This window comes from Homo sapiens, chromosome 12 (assembly GCF_000001405.40).
Source record: "Homo sapiens chromosome 12, GRCh38.p14 Primary Assembly".
Lineage (NCBI taxonomy): Eukaryota > Metazoa > Chordata > Mammalia > Primates > Hominidae > Homo > Homo sapiens.
The window spans coordinates 86,011,676-86,037,302 of record NC_000012.12 but is presented as its reverse complement, the minus strand read 5'-3'; the positions used below and the strand labels follow the sequence as shown (position 1 = coordinate 86,037,302).

General features: G+C 34.9%; 1 protein-coding gene across 11 annotated transcripts in view; it reads left to right on the top strand.

Annotated features, from left to right (window-relative positions):
• The window catches only part of MGAT4C (MGAT4 family member C), an 883,334-nt gene that overhangs the window by 801,698 nt on the left and 56,009 nt on the right, over positions 1-25,627 (top strand). The window contains exons 3-4 of one of the 11 annotated variants that reach the window (NM_001351291.2): positions 23,545-23,576; positions 25,401-25,503. The exons of 7 other annotated variants lie outside the window; for them this stretch is intronic. Coding sequence is in view for 2 of the 4 variants with exons in the window: in NM_001351284.2 (NP_001338213.1) it covers positions 9,119-9,199 (81 nt within the window). In the remaining 2 variants the exon portion in view is untranslated. Of the gene's footprint in view, positions 1-9,095; positions 9,200-14,758; positions 14,855-23,544; positions 23,577-25,400; positions 25,504-25,627 lie in introns of all 11 variants that reach the window. 3 more of the 11 variants (NM_001351289.2, NM_001351284.2, NM_001351283.2) reach the window with 3 other exon arrangements.

Sequence of the window (25,627 nt, the reverse complement as noted above, 5' to 3'; positions counted from 1 at the left end):
AGAGCAGAACTGAAGGAGATAGAAACACGAAAAACTCTTCAAAAAATCAATGAATCCAGGAGCTGGATTTTTGAAAAGATCAACGAAATCGATAGACTGCTAGCCAGACTAATAAAGAAGAAAAGAGAGAAGAATCAAATAGATGCAATAAAAAATGATCGAGGGGATATCACCACTGATCTCACAGAAATACAAATTACCATTAGAAAATACTATAAACACTTCTACGCAAATAAACTAGAAAATCTAGAAGAAATGGATAAGTTCCTGGACACATACACCCTCCCAATACTAAACCAGGAAGAAGTTGAATCCTTGAATAGACCAATAACAAGTTCTGAAATTGAGGCAGTAATAGCCTACCAACCAAAAAAAGTCCAGGACCAGACAGATTCACAGGCAAATTCTACCAGAGGTACAAAGAGGAGCTGGTATCATTCCTTCTGAAACTATTCCAAACAATAGAAAAAGGGGGACACCTCCCTAACTCATTTTATGAGGCCAGGGTCATCCTAATTCCAAAACCTGGCAGAGACACAACAAATAAAGACAATTCCAGGCCAATATCCCTGATGAACATTGATGCAAAAATCAATAAAATACTGGAAACCGAATCCAGCAGCACATCAAAAAGCTTATCCACCACAGTCAAGTTGGCTTCGTGCTGGGGTTGCAAGGCTGTTTCAAAATACTCAAATCAATAAATGTAATCCATCACATAAACAGAACCAATAACAAAAACCACAAGATTATCTCAATAGATGAGGAAAAGCCTTCATCAAAACTCAACAGTCCTTCATGCTGAAAACTCCCAATAAACTAGGTATTGATGGAATGTATCTCAAAATAATAAGATTCAGCTAATATCATACTGAATGGGCAAAAACTGGAAGCATTCCTTTTGAAAACCAGCACAAGACACGGACGCCCTCTCTCACCACTCCTATTCAACATAATATTGGAAGTTCTGGCCAGGGCAATCAAGAAAGAGAAATAAATAAAGGCTATTCAATTAAGAAAAGAGGAAGTCAAAGTGTCTCTGTTTGCAGATGACATGATTGTATATTTAGAAAACCCCATCGTCTCAGCCCATGGGGCTGGAGAGGAAGAATCAATTTCGTGAAAATGGCCACACTGCTTAAAGTAATTTATAGATTCGATGCTATCCCCAGCAAGCGACCATTGACTTTCATCACAGAATTGGAAAAAACTACTTCAAATTTCATATGGAACCAAAAAAGAGTCTGCATATCCAAGACAATTTTAAACCAAAAGAACAAAGCTGGAGGCATCACACTACCTGACTTCAAACTATACTACAAGGCTACAGTAATAAAAACAGCATGGTACTGGTACCAAAAAGATATATAGACCAATGGAAGAGAACAGAGGCCTTAGAAATAACACCACACATCTACAACCATCTTATCTTTAACAAACCTGACAAAAACAAGCAATGGGGAAAGGATTCCCTATTTAATAAATGGTGTTGGGAAAACTGGCTAGCCATATGCACAAAGCTGAAATGGGGTTCCCTCCTTACACCTTATATAAAAATTAACCCAAGATGGACTAAAGATTTAAATATAAGACTTAAAACAATAAAAACCCTAGAAGACAACCTAGGCAATACCATTCAGGACTTTGGCATGGACAAAAACTTCATGACTAAAACACCAAAAGAAATGGCCACAAAAGCCAAAATTGACAAATAGGATCTAATGAAACTGAAGAGCTTCTGCACAGCAAAAGAAACTATCACCATAGTGAACAAGCAACCTAAAGAATGGGAGAAAATGTTTGCAATCTATTCATCTGACAAAGGGCTAATATCCAGAATCTAGAAATAACTTCAACAAATTTACAAGAAAAAAACAACCCCATCAAAAAGTGCGTGAAGGATATGAACAGACACTTCTCAAAAGAAGACATTTATGCAGCCAACAAACACATGAAAAAAAGTTCATCATCAGTGGTCATTAGAGAAATGCAAAGCAAAACCACAATGAGATACCAAGATGCTGTTTCATGCTAGTAAGAATGGTGATCATTAAAAAGTTAGGAAACAACAGATGCTGGAGAGGTTGTGGAAAAATAGAAATGCTTTTACACTGCTGGTAGGAGTGTAAATTAGTTCAACCATTGTGGAAGAGACGGTGGCAATTTATCTAGAACTAGAAATACTATATGACCCAGCAATCCCATTACTGGGTATGTACCCAAAGGGTTAGAAATCACTGTACTATAAAGACACATGCACACGTATGTTTATTGTGGGACTGTTCGCAATAGCAAAGACTTGGAACCAACTCAAATGCCCATCAGTGATAGACTAGATAAGAAAATGTGTCACATATACACTATGGAATACTATGCAGCCATAAAAAAGGATGAGTTCATGTTCTTTGCAGGTACATGGATGAAGCTGGAAACCATCATTCTCAGCAAACTAACACAAAAACAGAAAACCATACACTGCATGTTCTCACACATAAGTGGGAGTTGAACAATGAGAACACATGGACACAGGGAGGGGAACATCACACACCGGAACCTGTTGGGGTGTCGGGGGCTAGGGTAGGGATAGCATTAGGAGAAATATCTAATGTAGATGACAGGTTGATGGGTTCAGCAAACCCCTATGGCACATGTATACCTATTCAATGAACCTGCACTTTCTGCACATGTACTCCAGAACTTAAAGTATAATAAAAAAAAATTTAAAAAAAACAACAACAAAAAACCCTCAGAGACTACTATGCACATTTCTATGCACACAAGGTAGAAAATCTGGAAAAAAAATTGGTCAATTCTGAGAGATATAACCTCCCAAATTGAACCAGAAAGAAAGTGAATCCCTGGAGACCAATGACTTCCAATATAAGATCAGTAATAAAAAGCCTATAAATCAGAAAAAGCCCATGACTAGATGGATTCACAGCCAAATTCTACCAATGTATAAAGAAGAGTGGGTACTATTCCTTCTGAAACTATTCCAAAAATTTGAAGAGAAGGGACTCCTTCCTAACTCATTCTAGGAGGCTAGCATCATCCTGATACTGAAACCTGGCAGAGACACAATGAAAACAGAAAACTTCATGCCAATATCCTTGGTAAACACAGATGCAAAAATCCACATCAAAATACTAGCAAACTGAATCCAACAGCACGTCTAAAGCTAATCCAGCATTATCAATCAGGATTCGTCCCTGGGATGCAAGGCTGGTTCAACATATGCAAATCAGTAAATGTGATTTGTCACATAAACAGAACTAAAAACAAAAACACATGATCACCTCATCAGATACAGAAAAAAGCATTCAATAAAATTCAGTATTCCTTCATATTAAAAACCTTCAACAAACTACGTATTGAAGGAATATATTAAAAAAATAAGAGCCATCAAAAAATAAAATAAAAGCCCACAGCCAACATCATAATGAAAGGGCAAGAGCTGGAAGCTTTTGGGAACTGGAGCAAGAAAAGGATACCCTCTTTCACCACTCCTATTCAACATGGTACTGGAAGTCTTAGCCAGAGTAATCAGGCAAAAGAAAGAAATAAAGGCATAGTAATTGAAAGAGAGGAAGTCAAACGATCCGTTTTTGCAGAGAATATGATTTTATACCTAGAAAACCCCATAGTCTCTTCCCCAAAACTCTTTGATCTGATAAACAACTTCAGCAAAGTTTCAGGATACAAAACAAATGTACCAAAATTAGTAGCATTTCTATAGAACATCCAAGCTGAGAGCCAAATCACGAATGCAATCCCATTTACAATAGCCACAAAAAGAAAAAAAATTACCTAGAAATACAGCTAACTAGGGAGGTGAAATACTTCCACAGTGAGAGATAAAATACTGCTCTAAGAAATCAAAGACAATATAAACAAATGGAAAAACATTCCATGCTCATTAATAGAAAGAATCAATATTTTAAAATAGCCATACTGCCCAAAGCAATCTAAAGATTCAAGTATTAAACTACAAATGGCATTCTTTACAAAACTAAGGGGGGAAAACTATCTGAAAAGTCATATGAAATAAAAAAGAGCTTGAATAGCTAAGGCCATCCTAAGCAAAAAGAACAAAGATGGAGGCATCACATTACCCAACTTAAAACTATACTTATAGGGATAGAGCAACCAAAGCAGCATGGTTCTGCTACAAAACAGACACATAGACCAAGGAACAGAATAGAGATCACAGAAATAATGCTGCACAGCTAAAACCATCTGACCTTGAAAAAAGTCTACAAAAACAAGCTATGGAGAAAGGACTCCCTATTCAACAAATGGTTCTGGGATAACTAGCTAGCCATATTTCAAAAACTAAATATAGACACTTTCCTTACACCATATACAAAAATCAACTCAAGATGATTTAAAGACTTAAATGTTAAACCTAAAATGATATAAACTATAGAAGATAACCTAGGAAATACCATTCTGGACATAGGACCTGGCAAAGATTTCATGACAAAGATGCTAAAAATAATTGCAACAAAAACAAAAATTGACAAATGGGACCTAATTAAACTGAAAAGCTTCTGCGCAGTGAAAGAAACTATCAACAGAGTTAAACAAACAACCAAAAAATGGTAGAAAATGTTTGCATACTATGCCTCTAGCAAAAGTCTAATATCCAGAATCTATAAGGAATTTAAACAAATTAATAAGCAAAAAACAAACAACCCCATTATGTAGTGGGCAAAGGACACAAACAGACACTTTTCAAAAGAAGACATACACATGGCCAACAAACATATGAAAAAATGCTCAACATTACTAATAATTGGAGAAATGCAAATCAACCTCACAATGAGATACCAACTCACACCAGTCGTAATGGCTATTATTAAAAAGTCAAAAAATGACAGATGCTGGCAAGGTTGCAGAGAAAAGGGAACGCTTGTATACTGTTGGTAGGAATGTAAATTAGTTCAGCCACTGTGGAAAGCAGTGTTGCGATTTCTCAAATATCTCAAAATGGTAATTCTACCGTTCAACCCAGCAATCCTATTATTTGGTATATACTCAAAGGAAAATAAATCATTCTACCATAAAGACACACATATATTCATTGTGGCACTGTTCTCAAAAGGAAAGACATGGAATAAATCTAAATGTCCATCAGTGGTAGAATACATAAAGAAAACGTGGTAGATATATACCACAGGATCTTACACAGCCATAAGGAACAACGAGTTTATGTCCTTTGCAGCAACACAGATGGAGATGGAGGCCATTATCCTAAGTGAACTAACACAAGAGCAGAAAACCAAATACTACCTGTTCTCACTTGTAAGTGGGAGCTAAGCATTTAGCACATATGGACACAGATAAGAGAACAACAGACACTAGGGCCCACTTGAGGTGTAGGGTAAGAGAAAGATGAGGATCAAAAAACTACCTATCAGGTACTATGCGTATTACCTGGGTAATGAAATAATCTCTACACTAAACCCCAGAGACACACAATTTACCTATAAGACAAACTTGCATATGTACCCCTGAACTTAAGATAAAAGTTAACAAGTAAATATATAAATAAATAAAATTGAATAAAGTAAAAACACAATTGCAAAGATTTCAAGAGAAATCCAGAAACTTATCTGAAATTGCTCCATTTTTGCATACTGTGTAGACCACATCAATGCTGCTAGAACGTTGATTTTCCTTCTGGTTGCTATTTTTGTGAACCTTACATCATTTGAACATTGCAGGTGTTGTAATAAAATTCCTATTTTCATGTCTTTTTCCAACTGATATATTGCTTTGTTATTGATGTTAATATATTCATACATATTCATAATCTAGTCTGACTCTTTAAATATTTATGTAATATTTTACTCTCATGCATTAAAGTGTAAGAACAATGTAAGCAAATTTAACTGAAATAAATACCACTATAAAAGGTCAGCAAAACCAGAGAAAAAGAATGCAGCAGAGACGGAAATAATGTTTTATATAAATTTCTATGCAGACCATTTTGGCCATCGTTTCACTTGGTTTATCCCACTGTGACCCTGAAAATTAAATGTGGGATGTGAATCTACTATTCACTCAGTTATTATTAGTTCCTACTTAACCTCTTACCACACTGTGATTCTAGTGCTTAAGATGCATGTATTTCATACATAATTTTGAAACCCAAGTTGACTACATTTTGTACTCAAAAGAAAAAAAAAATTATTTATAATGTGAAGAGAACCACTGACTATGATAGATTCAGTTTGAGACAGAATGTCAATCTTAAGTGTGGCACCAACATGCTACTACTCCCATATTTGATTATATGTGTTTTATGCTTTTGTTGGTGACTAAATGTAATGGTTACATGAAACACTATCACCGTAGACTCTAAGCACAATTTTGCATTCTTTCAGATATACTACATCAAACTTCAAGAAACCTTCAGCTAGTCTTTGTCCTATCAATAACAAATTAAATCGGTCACTTGGATTATTTTGGCATTGAATTTTTCTTCTGCATAAAGTTGTAATTGAACTAATAATCTTTACATTTTTTTCTGGCTTGAATATTCTGTGATTATCAGTTTTAGCCCATTTTGCATAATTTAATAATAAAATGTGCTTTGAACTACTGAGTAAATGATAAACAATTCCTTCTGGATTAGAATATAAGTAATATTCCATTGGGAACAATGCATAAATATATATACTAATCAAATTTCAGTCTTGCCTCTTTAACCTCCTTTTAAAAAGTCCCAATCCAATGTTTTACACCTAATAGATTTCTCAACAAGTGCTTGATACTAGTAAACCTTTTCAGTGTTTTTTATTGTTGGTCTTTGATACAAGTGTACCAGTGAACTTTTTCATTTAATGTGTTTTATCTCATGTAGAACTCTGTACATGTAGTCATACTCACTAACATTAAGCCATAGTATAGGCATCATCTCATATTTAGGCTATAAAGTGAAGATTTCTGGCATATACTGTCGTCTTTTCAATTCCACAATCATACTGATTTCAACTCCAGTGTCATTCTATACACATAAACATCATACAAATTGTTCACATAAATTTTTTTAACCAGTTGGCATGAGATTCCAAATGTACAAACCTAAGTACAAATTTTATTCTGTCACTTAAGAGTTGTATCTACATGGGAAAATTATTTCAATCGCTGAGACTCCTGTGTCTCTCTTGTAAAATGGCACGACCCACACCTATTGCCATCTCTTTTCTTCCTTCATTTATAAGTCTTTGTCATGAAATACGATATTCCCAACACAGGAAAAAAAATGTGTTTGATGTAATTTTTACTTGATTTTTAATGTGCTCTTTTTAATAGGCATTTGCCTAAGTCAATTGCTACTTGTTGTTAAGAAACTTAATGTTTATTATTAAATAACTGTTTCTATACTGTCCCTCCAAATATGGTTATATGTAATAAAATTAATCCCCAGACACTTTCTCCTCTGTAATAATTATACTTTCACAGTTGTTTTTAATGTTCTTGAATTACACACATTCATCAACGAATAAAGAGAAAACTCTGAGACAGGATCTAATTGCAATACATCTATCCTGTAAAGTTCCTCATTAGGTATAAATAAAGTGTCATCACTAATATCATGGGCAACAGTATTAAATTAGAAGAGTAGCTCCCTCCTTGTTGAAGAAAATGAAAATAGAGAAAATAATAAATTAATTTATAATGGTCAAGAAATATTTAAGCAGGTTCTCCTCTCTACTTTTTTGGGGGAACCCAGCCGTCTGACATTTTCTTTAAGGCAGGAAATTGTGACTAAGGAAAGAAGCTGAAACAGAAGTTTGTATTCTCATTCTCATACTGTAAAAAGATTTTACTCTGCTGGTTTTTAGCATGTTAGATCTCTGTCCAACCAGTTTACATAAGTTTGTATGTATTTAAATGTACTGTTTAAAAAGCATAGTAAGGTCAGTATTTTATCAGCAACCTTTCTGTTACAGTTTTTCTCGTGAGAGTAGATCCAGCCTTACACTCAAATTGGCTGCACACTGATGTTTAGTACTCCTTTCTTTCCCATGACTCACTCTAGAGTTTGACTCTGTCTTTTTTGATCTGATATTGACATATAACAAGTTTTCTATGAAAATTAGAAAGATGTAAACTTCTTACACAGAGCCTGGCACACACTAAAAGCTAAATATGATGGTTATGTATATAATATCGGAGATCATCAGGCTTTACTGCTTATAACATTGTCCATTAAATAGCATCAGGCATTTTACTATATTTTGTCTTTAATCATTTCAATCTTTTATAAATGTCAGTCAAAAGACCATCTCGATAATAAATACTGTAAACAATAATTAGAAAATAGAGAAGACAGTGCATACTACTCCAGTTTGATAAAACAATAAAATAGTAAGCACAATAATTACATGTACAGTGAAAATATAGATAATTGGAATATGTAATGAGATATCTTATATCATTTCTTAGTCATAATATGGATTTCCCCCACTTATTTACTTTCTCAGTGCTTTTGTTTTAATAAGGTAATCCTACCCCCAATCTTTATAATCTCTAGGAACCAGGATCAAAACCTAACCTGATTTTTCCACACAACATAGCTGACAGAATAGCACCATAGTGTATTATTACCAGAAACAATTTTCTTGATGTTCTACTAAAGCTTTCTCAAATTTTAATTAAAGAGATGGCTTTGTCTGTGTTCTCAAATGGTAAATTTATCAATTAAAATTTTAATCAAAACTGTTAGGGAACATTTCTGAGGTACACCTGGGCCTAATTTCTTGCCTTCAATGAGCCCAGAGTTTATCTGGGGAAAAAAAAGTTGTGTAAAGAAATAAGAGTAAGAAAATGTTAAAAGTGATGTGATGGACAAACTACAAGTTAGACACCAGACCCCAAAAAAGTGTTGATCACTTCTTACCTATAGGAGAGAAATCAGCAATACTTCATAGTGACAGCATCACTTGCCCTGCCATGATGAGGAGCTCAACGTATGTCAGCAGACAAAGGGCATGGTGTTGGGAATGCTGTCAATTACTAGGGCAAGAGAAGGTAATAGGAGCTTTTAATAATAATGAAAAAGATTTTGAACTTTTTTCCATCAGCAGATGGAATCTTGGAACGTCTCATGCTTGGGAAGGACATGGTCAGATTTGTTGTAAGAAAGACTGTGCAGAGGAGTGTGGCAAAGGGATCCAGAAGATGCAAGGTATTATTTAGAAAAGGTAGTTGATGGAAGATTTAACAGCATGTGTTTGATACTTTCTTGACTAGATACACTTGATTTTCAAAGCCTGGAGAATGTATACAACTTAGGTCAATGGAAAATGTATAAAATACAATATTATGTTGGTGAGAAGCTATTATGATCTATAATATTTTATACTGATGATAAATAATTACTGTATATATAAAATATATTTTTTAGAAAAAATGAAATGATGGATCATCACTGTTATTTCAATGATGAATTTAGCAAAGTGAAGTGAACTTTAGAAATTAGTTAGATCTCTGGAACATTATAGTAAAAGCTATAATGAGGGCCATGGGGCATTGAAAGCTTTTGAACTATTTGATAAACCATGACATATTAAATTATGCTTAACATATTTCAGCATTACATGTATTCACATAAACTCCAAAATGTGACTTTAAAATGGATAATTTCTCATTAACCAAACTATTTTAACTGGACCACAATTCTTAATCAGATAAAATAGTTATAATTTTGTAGTGTATATTGACCTATATTTTATGTTAATGTTTTTCATCATATGAATTTCATGAAAAACCATGTGTATTTTAAAATAAATTTTTTCTATTCTGTTCTCTGGGCCAGAAATATAGTACATCATACTATAACATTTGATCTAAGTAATTAAACATTCAATATTAGAGTAGCCAATAAAACAGAAAATTATAATTTTTAAAATAAAAATGTAACAAAATTACTTTAAAATATAAAAATTTTAAATTATCTTTAAATAATGCTTTATGCTAGGATATTTTAACTTAGTCGCAGCCATTGTCTTTGAGAAAACATGGAATACAGCAAAAGTTTAGTTATCAGAAGAGCCAACAGCCAGGAAAATACCCATGAATGTGCTTCCCAGAGGTCTCCAGGTAGCCCTTTCCTCTTCTATTATGACACTGTATGTTCAGTTTGCTTATGAAGTGAGGTACACTGTGATAGTGAAAAATTCGTTATTTCTTGAAGATTTCCTAATAATGATTCATTGTAGTTATGTGTTGTCACTATTTTTCCTTTTAGAATGTGGACCTACTTATAGTATACTGAGAACTAGTTAATAATGACTTTAGAAATGAAATCCAAATAGATTGCAACATGTGTATTTTCTATGAGGATTACCTTCCACTTAGTAAATGGTACGATACACAAATGCTTCACTGTTGCTACTTTAATTGAAAAGGATCCCTTTTAGTAATCTTCTGGACTCTAGAGAAATTATACACACACAGATTGGAAGAGCTGAGAAAGCTCATTTAACTAAGCTGTCAACAGCAATATCTCAGATCTGCTTAAATTTACTGGGGGAAGATCTATTTGAAATGCAGAAAATAAACACTGAACTACTTGTAATGTTACAGTCAATACACAAGAATATATTACAAGACTAAGGGGAGCTGGAAGTATCTCTCATAAATGAGACTACTTTTTGACCCATCAATTTTACTAATATATTTATATCAAAAAATTAGGCACAAAGATATCTTATATGAATTTTAATTGCATCATTTTTGTAAGATAGTATTTGGAACTAAGGGAGTGGGTTAAATAAAAACATGTTTCAACTAGACTATTCAGCAATTTGAAAAAATAAAGTGAATCTATTTGTGCTGATATGGAAAGATTTTCAAGATATAGTGAAAGAAACAAAAACATGATATGGTTCAACGTATGTGTTATTTTTAAATAGGTGTGTGTGTGTTTAGTATTTGTGTGTGTGTCTGTGTGTGTGTGCATGTGCATGCACATGCAGAGAAAAGGTCCTAAAAAACCAAACTATAGCAGCAATGGTAATCAGTAGTAGGAATTACAGTGATGGGAGTAGAGGAGAACATTCAACTGCTTCTATTTTTTCTACATTCTTGCATTGCTTATGTAATTAAAAATAAAAGTAAAATTGTTCTTATTTTATATCCCCACTCCTTATGAATAGGACTTGGACACTTACTTTGTTACCACAGTATTTTTAAAAATTTCGGTGTTAGCAAGAACATGAAATTTCAGGACAGGTGACACAAATACACCATCATAACTGCAGGATGTATCTATAGTATTATAAGTATTAATCATAATGTATCATTGTACATTCACTAATATTGAACCATTTAGCAGTTTAAAAACATATATGTATGTATATATCAGGAACCCTAAGCATTAATATTGAGTTGATGATTAATTACTTTCACTGTTTGAAGAGAGACAACATAGCATAATGTCTTACACCACAGTCTGGGGAGTCAGATACACCTCGTCCCAATAGTTATGAAATCCTGGAAAAGTTCATTAAACATCCCTGAAAGCTTCATTTTTTCCATAATAAATAAATAGATATGATAATATCTAGTAATTGGAGTCCTAGGAGGATTAAAATAGATAATGCATGTAGACAGTCCCACAGCCTTTCATAAAATAAGTTCCCCTAGAATTTAGAATTTTAGTGTTTCTTCATAGCTTTTATTAATAGCCTATTTTCCCTATCTTTATGTTATAAATATTTGAAACAACATATAAAAAATATTGTTTTATGAGCTTTTCAACAATGGATAAATTTTTAAAACTGTTTAATTCTCTCATGACATCTTTAGTTATTGAATATAGAAATTTAAGTATTTTAGTATGAGACTGCTAGGGAATAGCCATAGAGAAATATACTTTATGTAATTCTTTCATTTTAGTTTATTATCTACATAATGCCATGAATCAATGATGTTTCGATTACACAAGGGAAATAATGCAAAATAGATTACAAGATTGAACATAGGAAAATTGATTTTCACTGTTGAAATTATTAATTTCTTTCTAAAAAGAGTTTTTCATTGCAGATTTTTATTATGCTCTCAAACCATAACTTATTTCCTAATCAATAAGTAATTTATACCATGGGGGGAATTGAAAAAAAGATAAGCTGAAATATTGGTATAAAAATTATATTTAGGGACCTGGTAATAAATCTAGGTTATTTCTATTTTTAAATTCAGTTATTTATTTATAAAAATCACTTGATAATTTACTTTAAGGAATCTGTGACCAAGAGGAAAAGACATTTGAATTCTGGTTTCATCCGAAGTTAAGCCAAATGAATCAAGATTGTCATATAGTTGTTAATATAACAAGGTTTAATCCTAAACTTAAGAGGCTGAAAATAGAAAAAAAAAACTAGTTCGGGTATTAGAAATTTTTAAAATGTGATAACTCGAATAAAGGGAATTGACACTTTAAAATGCATTTTTAAAATGTTAATTATACCATTACTATAAATGTCCCTAGAACACAGATACTTATTCTTCACATTTGACCATTTGACTATGGAAATGACTGCTTCAATCTCATTGGGAGTAGGCTGTAGGATAGTTAATGACATTTTTCTTCTTTTATCTGAATTATCGCCAATGACATCTTTCTTCTTAAACTTGAATTACCACCTTGAGTTAACCTGAAATTACTTGTCATTCATGCACTATGATGTACAGTTTTGTGGCCTGATTTGTCAATTCAGATGTTAGAGTGCAACTTTAAGAGTCTTTATATAAATGAAAATTATATCTTCTATAAAATCAATGTAAGAGCAGTAATTTTACAAAATAGAAAGGGAAAGAAACAAAACCCTGTTAGGCTTAGAAGACAATTTTTAACTTTAGAACTAGTCCCTTCCAGAATTTTTGCTCTATATTTTTTGCATAATTTTGATAATATATACAGAATTTTAGGAGTTTTTCAAATGCATTGTTCCAAATATAAGCTATATGCATATTTTTGAAATAGAAAAAAAAATGTATTAATTGAGAAAAGACAAAAGGAAGAGTCAAAAGTAGAACCATCATTCTATTCTGTATTCCAGTTTAACGTTATTTACGCATATACAGAGTAGAATGATGATTACCTGAAGCTGGAAAGAAGGGATGGTTAATGGGTATATGCATATTTTAAAAAGTACAAAATATAGAAAGGTATAAAGAAAAAAGTAACATCCATAATTGTACAAAATGCATACTATCACTATTAATATGTCATTGTAGTTCTTTAATCTTTCTCTGTATACATTTTTTTCATAGTTAAAGTTTTACATATTAAACATATAAGAACATTTAGAGGTCTTAGATGCAAGATAATATGTGGAGGTTTTTTGATACATATTATGCTTGTTCAGGAAGAATTTTAAAGATAAAGAAAAAAATCATTTCTCAAGTTTCTCTACATGGAAGTGACCTTTAAATTGCCCAACTCAGCTCTAACTTTCTAAATGGGATAAACAAGAACAAACACTTGGTAATTATTCTTGTAGACTCCAAACTATGCAAATATTATAGTCAATTTCAGTAAGTTCATGAATGGAAAAAAAGCTAGTTACTGCTTCAAGTGGCTACAAACAACAGTATTATGTGTTCTATTTGAAGCTTGGATGCAATTTTATTATATTTATATAATAATAAATATTTGTAAAATATAAACATATGATTACGTAAGTATTTATATAATATATATAATATATTTCGTGATTCTACAAAATTTGAAGTTACAAAACAGGATCCAAGCTTAATATAAAGTCTTAAATAGTACTTAATATAAAATCTAGCTTCACCACTTGGCTTTAAAAACATGAGGATACCTAAATCCTACTGGTTTCTGGAATTTGGAATCAAAATTAAGTAAGAAAAAAAACTGCAGTCACTTTTCACCATAGTCTCTCCATTCTTGGTTCTTAATTCATCTCTAAAACGACTTGGTGGAAATTTTAATTATTTTCTAAAGAGAAAAATAAATCAATACTTTATTTCTGAAGACCTTACATACCAGAAAAAAAAATTGACTTTGCCTCTGCAAAATAAAGAGAACTTTTGTGAACTACAATTATGGAACAATAACATAACATTTCCCTTCAAAAATTTCAAGGTATTTTCTTATTATCTTCTCATTTAATAAAATTATTACAGAATAGAAGTCTGGAACCAGGCTGTTCATTTTGTTTATCATGAGCTCTATAATGTATTAACTTAAACTATTTCTGCTCAGATGGTGGTGAGATTTTAAGAAAACAGGAAAAATCAACAACTTTATAATATAGAAATGTTACACTCTGTATGTCACTTTGTTTTTTTGCTGTACTCTTACCCTCGGGTCTTTCCTACTCTTATCTTACTCCCTGTCTGTCTTCATCTCCTCTATGTAATATTCTCTGAAAACAGCCAACTCTCAAGTAGAAAAGTCTCTTATTTCCCTATTTTATGTTTCTATTATAACCTGTGCATTTTTGTAACATCATGCCTCTAACAATTTATGGATCTACTTTTGGGCACATTTACCTTCCTTTTGCCTTGCACTAGACATTAGTGCAAGAACAGGGACTTATTTTATTTTAGAGACAGGGTCTCACTCTGTCACTCAGGCTGAAGTGCATGGCACAATCATGGCTCAACCTCGAACTGTTGGGCTCAAGTGATCCTCTGTCTTAGCCTCTCAAGTATCTGGGACTACAGCTGTGCACCAGCATGCCTAGCAATTATTTTTTATCATTTTTCATAGAGACAAGTTCTCACTACGTTGCCCAGGCTGGTGTCAAGCTCCGGGCCTCAAGCGATCCTCCCACCTCAGCCTCCCAAAGCGCTGAAATTACAGACGGTGAGCCACCAGGCACAGACAGAACATGGACTTTAAATTAATCTTTACTTTTCTTTCTAGCACAATGCCATGTGCATAGTAGGGCTTCAGTAAGTGGAGATAGAACTAAGGCAATACTTAATGTCTTGGGCAATACAGACTGAGTAACCATTTAAAATGTTTTTTAAAAATTCTTCATAACAACTATCAGGAAAGTATTAAAAGCATTTCTAACCACAACATGTGTTTTTACTGCATTTCCTCTGTAGTATTTTTCTGTTCTAGTTAAGCTGCATATTAAATTGCAGTCATTGTGCATAGCACAGGTATCTGGTACCTAGTATAAACTCAATAAATGTTTGAGTGAAATAATAAATGAATGGTAATGATTTATCAATAACAAAATTCTTATTATTTTTAGAATTTAATAACAAGCTTAAGAAAAACAACACTTAAACAGGAAAATGATTCGTAATCTGAGCATTTTACTTCAATGTAAAAATATATTAATATATGCATTAAATCCACCCAAATTTGTTATTTGGTAGTACTGAATTCAAGTTAGTTTACCTGATCTATTACTGTATGAAAATGTACAGTAAAAATGTGTGGCAATATTATTGAGACAATATGTTATTGCCTTTTATACTATACTAGTGGTTGTACATAAATGCTTATACCATCCTTTAAGGAAAAATAATCATCTTATGTATTATGTCTTTTTTATTATTATTATACTCTAAGTTTTAGGGTACATGTGCACAACGTGCAGGTTTGTTACATATGTATACATGTGCCATGTTGGTGTGCTACACACATTAATTCTTCATTTAACATTAGGTATATCTCCTAATGCTATCCCTCCCCCCTCCCCCCACCCCACAGCAGGCCCTGGTGTGTGATGTTCCCCTTACTGTGTCCATGTGTTCTCATTGTTCAATTCCCACCTATGAGTAAGAACATGCGGTGTTTGGTTTTTTGTCCTTGCAATAGTTTGCTGAGAATGATGGTTTCCAGCTTCATCCATGTCCCTACAAAGGACATGAACTCATCATTTTTTATGGCTGCATAGTATTCCATGGTGTATATGTGCCACATTTTCTTAATCCAGTCTATCTTTGTTGGACATTTGTGTTGGTTCCAAGTCTTTGCTATTGTGAATAGTGCCGCAATAAACATACGTGTGCATGTGTCTTTATAGCAGCATGGTTTATAATCCTTTGGGTATATACCCAGTAATGAGATGGCTGGGTCAAATGGTATTTCTAGTTCTAGGTCCCTGAGGAATCGCCACACTGACTTCCACAATGGTTGAACTAGTTTACAGTCCAACCAACAGTGTAAAAGTGTTCCTGTTTCTCCACATCCTCTCCAGCACCTGTTGTTTCCTGACTTTTTAATGAGTGCCATTCTAACTGGTGTGAGATGGTATCTCATTGTGGTTTTGATTTGCATTTCTCTCATGGCCAGTGATGATGAGCATTTTTTCATGTGTCTTTTGGCTGCATAAATGTCTTCTTTTGAGAAGTGTCTGTTCATATCCTCTGCCCACTTTTTGATGGGGTTGTTTGTTTTTTTCTTGTGAATTTGTTTGAGTTCATTGTAGATTCTGGATATTAGCCCCTTTGTCAGATGAGCAGATTGCAAAAATTTTCTTCCATTCTGTAGGTTGCCTGTTCACTCTGATGGTAGTTTCTTTTGCTGTGCAGAAGCTCTTTAGTTTAATTAGATCCCATTTGTCAATGTTGGCTTTTGTTGCCATTGCTTTTGGTGTTTTAGACATGAAGTCCTTGCCCATGCCTATGTCCTGGATGGTATTGCCTAGGTTTTCTTCTAGGGTTTTTATGGTTTTAGGTATAACATTTAAGTCTTTAATCCATCTTGAATTAATGTTTGTGTAAAGTGTAAGGAAGGGATCCAGTTTCAGCTTTCTACATATGGCTAGCCAGTTTTCCCAGCACCATTTATTAAATAGGGAATCCTTTCCCCATCTCTTGTTTTTGTCAGGTTTGTCAAAGATCAGATAGTTGCAGATATGCAGCATTATTTCTGAGAGCTCTGTTCTGTTCCATTGGTCTATATCTCTGTTTTGGTACCAGTACCATGCTGTTTTGGTTACTGTATAAGAGCTATCTATGACAAACCCATAGCCAGTATCATATTGAATGGGCAAAAACTGGAAGCATTCTCTTTGAAAACTGGCACAAGACAGGGATGCCCTCCCTCAACACTCCTATTCAACATAGTGTTGGAAGTTCTGGTCAGGGCAGTCAGGCAGGAGAAGGAGATAAAGGGTATTCAATGAAGAAAAGAGGAAGTCAAATTGTCCCTGTTTGCAGATGACATGATTGTATATCTAGAAAACCCCATCGTCTCAGCCCAAAATCTCCTTAAGCTGATAGGCAACTTCAGCGAAGTCTCAGGATACAAAATCAATGTGCAAAAATCACAAGCATTCTTATACAACAATAACAGACCAACAGAGAGCCAAATCATGAGTGAACTCCCATTCACAATTGCTTCAAAGAGAATAAAATACCTAGGAATCCAACTTACAAGGGACGTGAAGGACCTCTTCAAGGAGAACTACAAACCACTGCTCAATGAAATAAAAGAGGATACAAACAAATGGAAGAACATTCCATGCTCATGGGTAGGAAGAATCAGTATCATGAAAATGGCCATACTGCCCAAGGTAATTTATAGATTCAATGCCATCCCCATCAAGCTACTAATGACTTTCTTCACAGAATTGGAAAAAACTACTTTAAAGTTCATATGGAACCAAAAAAAAGCCCACATTGCCAAGTCTATCCTAAGCCAAAAGAACAAGGCTGGAGGCATCACGCTACCTGACTTCAAACTATACTACTAGGCTACAGTAACCAAAACAGCATGTATTATGTCTTAACATTAAGGTGGAAACATGATTCCCAGTGTTCTTCAATATTAATTGCTTAACCAATTTTTAACTTGACTTTGAAGCACCTAATGTTTATCTCTCTGATAAACTCTGTGTAGACTAGGATGCATACAACATCAGAGATATATTTACAAAGGCCTGTGTTTAAACCGAATTGCCATTTATCATACATAGGTATGACAGCATACTTGCTATCTATTATACTGGGGCACACCACTAAAACTATCTTAGTTCAGTTTGTATTTATAGTGTAAGAATAATCACGAATATATTCTTACCTACCTCATGAGTTTTATGGAGGATTTAACAAAGTATATTTTATAGCCCTTTGAAAGACTTAAGTTATTTTCATCATCATTGTCGCTCTTCTCTTCCCCACGACAAATCAAAACAGTGTTCACAGTTATAACTTTTCTCAGAACGAGTTAATTCCTGTACTCTTGCTGACATAGTTAGTTCAATGTTTGCTACTACTGATTCTATTCTAACCAGGCCCTTTTTCAGCTCACAGAAAAAAATTTATATATATATTTAAGAGAATGATACTGTAAAAGAGAAGTTGGTAAATAAGTTACAACATAACTTGTCTCAATTAGCTTTAATATTGGAAGAGTTTACTGTCTCTTCCCAATCCTCATCTCAAGTTTTATTATTTCTGCAATCAGTGGCAGGAAATCTCAATCCTGTCAATGCCACACATTTTCTATTTATGTTGAAGCTTAAAGTGAAACTTAATGTAAATCTTGCTGGGCATCATTGTAGGATACTTAGTCTCTCTCTCTCTCCTTATATATGTAATATATTTTCTATTTCATTACCACCTATACTATAAATGAACATACAACTTGGGACTGTAAAAAAATATGAAACAGCAAAACAATTACATGTGCTCTTACCAGTATCTGAGACTTTTGTACCCAATGTAATTATAATGATGTTTCGGAAAAACTTTTCATTTTTCTGGCTTTCTGAAGATTTTGCTATGTCAGCAACATTCTTTGTGCTCATCAGAAAGTACCGAATACTGCCCTGAGGGCATATGCAGCCTTCCACAAAACAAAGTAAAAAAACAAATTGGACAAGCATTTAAAAAAGCAAGGAAAGCAAGTCAGATACATACAGTGGCACATGTCAGACAGATGAAGAGTTGACTGCAACACTTCTTTCATGTTTTCCCTGACGTGAGGTTAAGTGTTGAATATAAGCCCTTATGATTTGGGGAATGTAATTTACTGTTGTATTCTGTTGATTTTAATATAAATGATTAAATAAAATGTTACAGTTTAGTGCCTTGGGGTAGATTAACGTTGCCACTTTCATTTAGATGGGTAGAATTTTGTTTTTCTTCTTTCCCACCTCTACTTAGGGCCACAGAATAATTTGCACTGAGGAAGTGCAACCCTGAAGAGTTGAAGGAAAAGAACTGAGATCACTAATGTTTGGTGGTTTGTTGCATGTAGTCCAAGTAACACTCCAGAAACCGGAGGAATTTGTGATTACATGCACAGTCATATGCATTCTAAGCAAAGCACTCTACAGTGTAATAATTCACTTGTCATTTCATATCAGCATCAATTCCTTAATAAATGAGCATTTTTCTTGAGTTGATGAAAACTAACAAGTTCCCACACACTATCTTCCCAAGAAGAAATGTAATAACATTTGTACAACTAATACTTTATCTGCCTTCATGAGCAATGATTAGAGGTAAATAATAGAGATTCATTGTGTTCCAATGACAAACAGTTAAAAATGTTATTTCTCTACATATATATGTATATGTACAAGGCAGTGAAGATAAGTAGATGGCCCAGCAGATTCCAAAAATATCTGTCCCTAAATTGCGTGGCTTCTCAAACTTTGCACCATATCTGAATTTTGATATTAGACAGATTAGGTTACATGTTTGAGGTTCCCCCAGTACTCAGTTTTGATGCTCATCTTCTAACTGTACATAGTGTCAATATTTTTTCGTTACCTTTTTTAATATCTTTAAAGATGTTTACTTATAGCAGTTAAAAGATATTTATATTTATTATGTAATTAAACTAACAAGTGGTATTATCCTCACTTCTCACTTAAATAAGTTATAAACGAATAAAGAGAAATGTATGGTTCCTTCTTAGTAGACAAAGTTAAGTTTGATGTGCTCATTTGCATTTTTTCAATTAAAGAGCCCCAAAATAACATTACAGATCTGGGTCATATCAGGGAAACTCTTAAGCAAGTTTTCAAGAGTACCATGCTGTAGATAATAAATACAAATCTTCATGGCTGGTAGTTTGTCTTATAGCTCCGAGTTCGAGATTCCTGCAATGTAAACACATACATACACACACACACTCAAACCACAGTGGTAGTTGCAATCTTTTTAAACACTCCGCTGAGTACTCAAGTGATATAATACGTTTTTTTTAAATGTTTTCAAATTTAAGAAGATCAGAATCCAAGGTGAAATAAAACATACAGATAACAATTCTAAGAAGTAGAAAGTATTAAGAAAACTAAGAGATGTACAGATATGAACTCAATGGTATGAGTTCAAAAAAGTGAACAACAACTTTTGACTGAAATTAGGCTTCAGAGGCATCAGTAATACGGTAACATTTTGGTGACTTAAAAATTAATTTTTAAAATGAGAGAATTGATAAGAGAGCAAATCCATGGATATTAAAATGAGAGACAAATGTGGAGAACATTACTGTTCTGAAGCTAATGCACAGAAATGTAGCACATCTAAGGTGGAAAGAAATTGTGTAGAAAAACCTGTCTGCATACCAAAAAAAAAAATTTACACATAGGCCTTTGAGAAAGAATATGCACTGTGTTGCACCAATAACATCCTTCTCAGCTTTATGTGCTTCTAAGTAGTTTAATCCCTAAATTTTTCTAATCAGAGGTGGGAAATCCAGAACTAACACACAGATTGGTTTTTACTTCTGTGTTAAGTGGCCTTACCTTGAATACAGGACTGCTACCACTCAATTCTGAATTGCAAAGGTTAGTCCAACAGAACTTTCCTAGGTATCTGCTGCATTTTCCCGGGAGACACATTCAGGCACAGGGATGATAACGTTGGTATCACGAAAATGCAGTTTCCTTGGAACTATCCTGTCTGCACAAAATATTAGTTTCCACAGCTTAGGTCTGGCTTCAACCAGGGCTTTTGCCAAACAAGTCCAAGTCCTGGCAAGGTCATTCTATCTTCCTCTGGTTCCATATAGATATTTGAAAATCTTCTGGCTCTTAAATTTCACTGGGATAGGTCATTTCAACCTTGTGACAAAACTTGATGGCACAGGAACATCGCATTTGTCTTTTAGAGTAGTGTCCTAATAAACTGCATTAGTGTTTCCTTCTAGAAAAAGGATTGTCCCAGTTGAGTGCATTTCGTTGATATGTGATGGCAATTCATCAAAGATTTGGGGCACCATTACCAAAACGGGTAATTACTTTTAAGTTATGCTTGATTTCTTTTTTTCCTGTTCATCCTACAAGCAAATCTCAGTCCTTGCCTATTCTATTTGAGCCACCTAGAAGATTATGAATAATTCCACTGGCGTTCAATGTGAAATAATAGTAGTTTAGGTGCTGTGCATGAGAAAGCAATGTAGCCCATTTATTTGGAATTGTATACTTACTACCACTCACCTACCAGCTTCACGTGTCCAAAACACAGGGATGCTCAATTGTGCAGAACCTCAAAGAAATAAAAGTAATTGGTCAATAGTCCTTGAATGTGATTACTTGCTTTGCATTTACAAAATATGTGAGATTATATACAAGCAAGGCACTAAATGAAAGCACTTTAAGGTCGTTAAAAATCAGAGGGGACCATTGGAGTTGACAGCTCAGATCCCCTGAGTCACCATCTTGAAACTCTCTACATGAAGCTGCTAAGGATTTCTATTTCTTCCTCCAGTTATTGCAGCAATTGCTAAAGCTTCTGTCTCAAGCAATCCCAGACTTACTGTGGTGGCAACTGTGCAATGTGCTTCTTCCAGCCAGGTGGATTTGGGCAAAGGTTATACTTAATCTGTATAAACTTCAGTGTCCTTACACAAAGGATGCCAGACCTCTGCCTTCCGTACAGTCAAGATGGGAGATGCTCACTCACAGTGCATTCACAGCTGGTCCTCCAGTTCCTCTTCAAAGCCCAGCTGATTGGCATGACCACAGCACAAACAGCTTGTCGGGAGGCAGCAAAGGGAGACAGTGCTAGAAGCACTCCAGTTTCCAGCACACTGGGCCCCAGTTCCTTTTTTTCATTTCCTAGCGGAAAACACACACACATTGGTGCAAAAGTAATTGCGGAAAAACCGCAATTACTTTTGCACCAACCTTATTATTATTTAATGTAACCATTCTTACTATTACAAAACAGAACAAACTTTGTTTATTTCACCTCAGAAGTGAAAAAACAGAAGTAGGACACAGAGGCCGGGTGTGGTGGCTCACACCTGTAATCCCAGCACTTCAGGAAGCTGAGGCTGATCACTGGAGCTCAGAAGTTCAAGACCAGCCTGGACAACATGGCAAAACCCCACCTCTCCAAAAAAAAAAAAAAAGAAAGAAAGAAAATGAAAAATAAAGAAAAATTAGCCGGGTATGGTGGCACATGCCAGTAGTCCCAGCTACTCAGGAGGCTGAAGTGGGAGGATCATTTGAGCCCTCCAACCCAGCAAGAGATCCCGTCTCAAAATAAAAAATAATAATAATAATAAATTGTTCAAGCCCTCCACGTCCCCAAGTACTCCTTGGCGCTCCTCATTGTCATTTTTTTCATAAAATGCAGAGTACAAATAAAAACTCAGCAAATTCCAGGCCCTGAAAAATACATACTTTCGAGGGGGCATTAGGTTTCTTCCCCCAATTCTTGCCAACAGCAGGGTGAAAACAGACCGACTTCTGTACAATTTTCACAGCGTAAATTATGAGGTCAGGGGAAAGCCTGGCCTGAAAGGACCTCCCCCTCGAGCTCTGAACAGGGCTGGCTGACGTTCACACTAACACGCGATGTTGCCATGACGGTTTCTTACTGGGTTAACTGAGATCATTTGCAGGCAGCCTTCTTGATTCACATCGCAGCACAGCAAGGCAGGATTGTTACCTTTCCCGCATTAACATCCTCAAGCAGGCATCTGCTTGAAGCTCCTAGGCTGGAAATGGATCAAGATCTCTCCTCAAGGGCGGATCATCCCACTTCTGGTTTAGGGATGGAACGTCCAAAACTAGTTTCCCAGTTCCGGTTTAGGGGTTGATGCTTCAAAATTGTGATGAACAGGTAGGGAAAACCATCAGTAATGTAATGCCGTTGCCAAAATTAAAGGAAGTATTAACCGGAACTTTGATTATGGCAGTGAGAACTCAACAGGAAACATTGTGGCAGGTGAGATATTGAGGAAAAGAGGGTTTGGCATGTTTCTAATTATGAGAGAATAGAAGCTATAAACTTAGCCCTGAGAAAACTGAGCCTACCAAAAATAAGAATCTGGAAGGAGAAGCAGGCAGGAAAGGAAAATTACAGTTTTAGATGCATTGTGTTTTATTGGTCAGCAGAAAAATAGGTAAAGAGAATAGTCATTATTCAAAAACTGAGACTGGGATTCAGGAAGGAGTCCTAGCTGAAGCTCTAAATATGATTGTAGGAGAAGTCATGTAATACCAAAAATGTTGTAACAAAGAAAAAGAAGAAAAGCTTGAATAGAATGATGGAAAATGATAATATTTATGGGAGTAGGAGAGAAAAGAGTTTACTAAGAAAGTCTTTTTTTTTTTTTTCACTAAGATTCTGTGGACCTGACTGACACTAGAAAAGCCGTATGTTCTTTTTGTTGGTGGTTTGTAAACAGTAGGTAAAATTCAGGTAGGACCAGTATTAAATGGTACGAAAGAATAGTACACGTTCACAGATTTATAAGTGAATATAGCTCTATTTATATATGTATAATTGTTTATTTATATGTATAGGAATATATGCCACATTATGTATAAATTAAATGTAAATGCATGAATATATAATATGCATTTTGTATGTTAGTATGTTTATCCATATATTCATATATAATAATCTTTTATGAGGGGAAGTATAGAGTGAAAGGATTTATTTCTATTTAAAACATTACTTGGTACAAGAAATTAGCCGGGCGTGGTGGCAGGCGCCTGTAGTCCCAGCTACTTGAGGAGAATGTCGTGAACCCGGGAGGCGGAGCTTGCAGTGAACCGAGATCGCGCCACTGCACTCCAGCCTGGGCGATAGAGCAAGACTCCGTCTCCAAAAAAAAATTACTTGGTACAGTATCACTTCAAAATAATTTCAATGTTTATATTTTGAAGTATTACTTTCATGTAAATGAACATTCATCATTCATCTCTTTCTGAAGAGACAAGGTCTTACTTCTCTGTTGAAGAAGAGACAAGGTCTTACTTCTCTTTTGCCCAGGCTGTGCAGTAGTGTGATAATAGTTCTTTGAAGCCTTGAATGCCTGGGTTCAAGCAATCCTCCCACCTCAGTCTTTCAGTCTTCCAAGTAGCTAGGACCACAGGCATGTGCCACCGTGGCTAATTTTTTTTTTTTTTAATTTTCGTGGAGATGATGCCTCACTACGTTGCCCACCCTGGTCGCAAACACCTGTCCTGAAGCAATCCTCCCAACTCAGCCTCCCAAAGTGCTGGGATTATCAGCACGAGCCACTGCACCAGGCCCACCACCCAGGTGGTGGTGGTGGTGGTGGTGGTGGTGGTGGTGGTGGTGGTGGTGGTGGTGGTTGTTGTTGTTGTTGTTGTTGTTGTTTGAGACGGAGTTTCTCTCTTGCTGCCCAGGCTGCAGTGCAATGGTGCGATCTCAGCTCACTGAAATTTCTGCTTCCCGGGTTCAAGCGATTCTCCTGCCTCAGCCTCCCAAGTAACTAGGATTACAGGCGCCCACCACCACTCCTGGCTAATTTTTTTTTCTTTTTTGTATTTTTAGTAGAGATGGGGTTCTGCCATGTTGGCCAGGCTGGTCTCGAGCTCCTGACCTCAGGTAATCCACCTGCCTCAGCCTCACAAATTGCTAGGATTACAGGCTTGAGCCACTGCGCCTGGCCTCACCCAGGTCTTTAAAAAAGCATATGATTCTGTTCCCAAACAAAAACTGCTTAAGCCTTATTGAACCAGACATGCAAATGCTGCATGTATTTGGTACAGAGAAGTAAGGATATTGTTATAGCCTTGCTTCCATAACTGTGTTCTGTAATCAATAGCCTTGGATCAGAAACTTGTGATGAAGCTGTTTTTGAAAACACAACATAATTAGTAAAAAAATATGCTCAGGATTTCCCATTGGGTGTAACAGAAATAAAAAGTATCGTGGGATATGCCGTTAGCAAGCAAATGTCTATGACATTAAGGGTATATAAAGATGATGTATCATCCTGAGAAATAGTTCACTCAAATCATGATAATATAATATGAGTTACGACTTTTCAAATAAACCTAATCTGTAACAATCAACTCATGACCTTAAAAGAAAAACGTACTTGTCCTTTGTAATATTATTCCAAAACAAAGAAAAAATTCTAGCAGATAAAATGTTATTTGAACATGGAACCAAGATCTCCTGCTCAAGTAACTCATCTTCATTTGTGTGATTGCTATTTTCAGGCAGTAGCATGTGACATGGAAGTTTATATTATCAGGGTGTGCTCACCTGGTTGCAAATTTGAGACCAAAGTTTTACTTTAACACTTGGAGCTGGTAAAGGATGGTGAGTTTGTGTCTGCCATGTTCAATATAGTGTTTATTCCTAGTAATCAGTATTATTCGCAAATTATATTAACATACTTTTTTTACACTGGGACCCTAAGTTACTAATGTTTTTACAGTGTCTA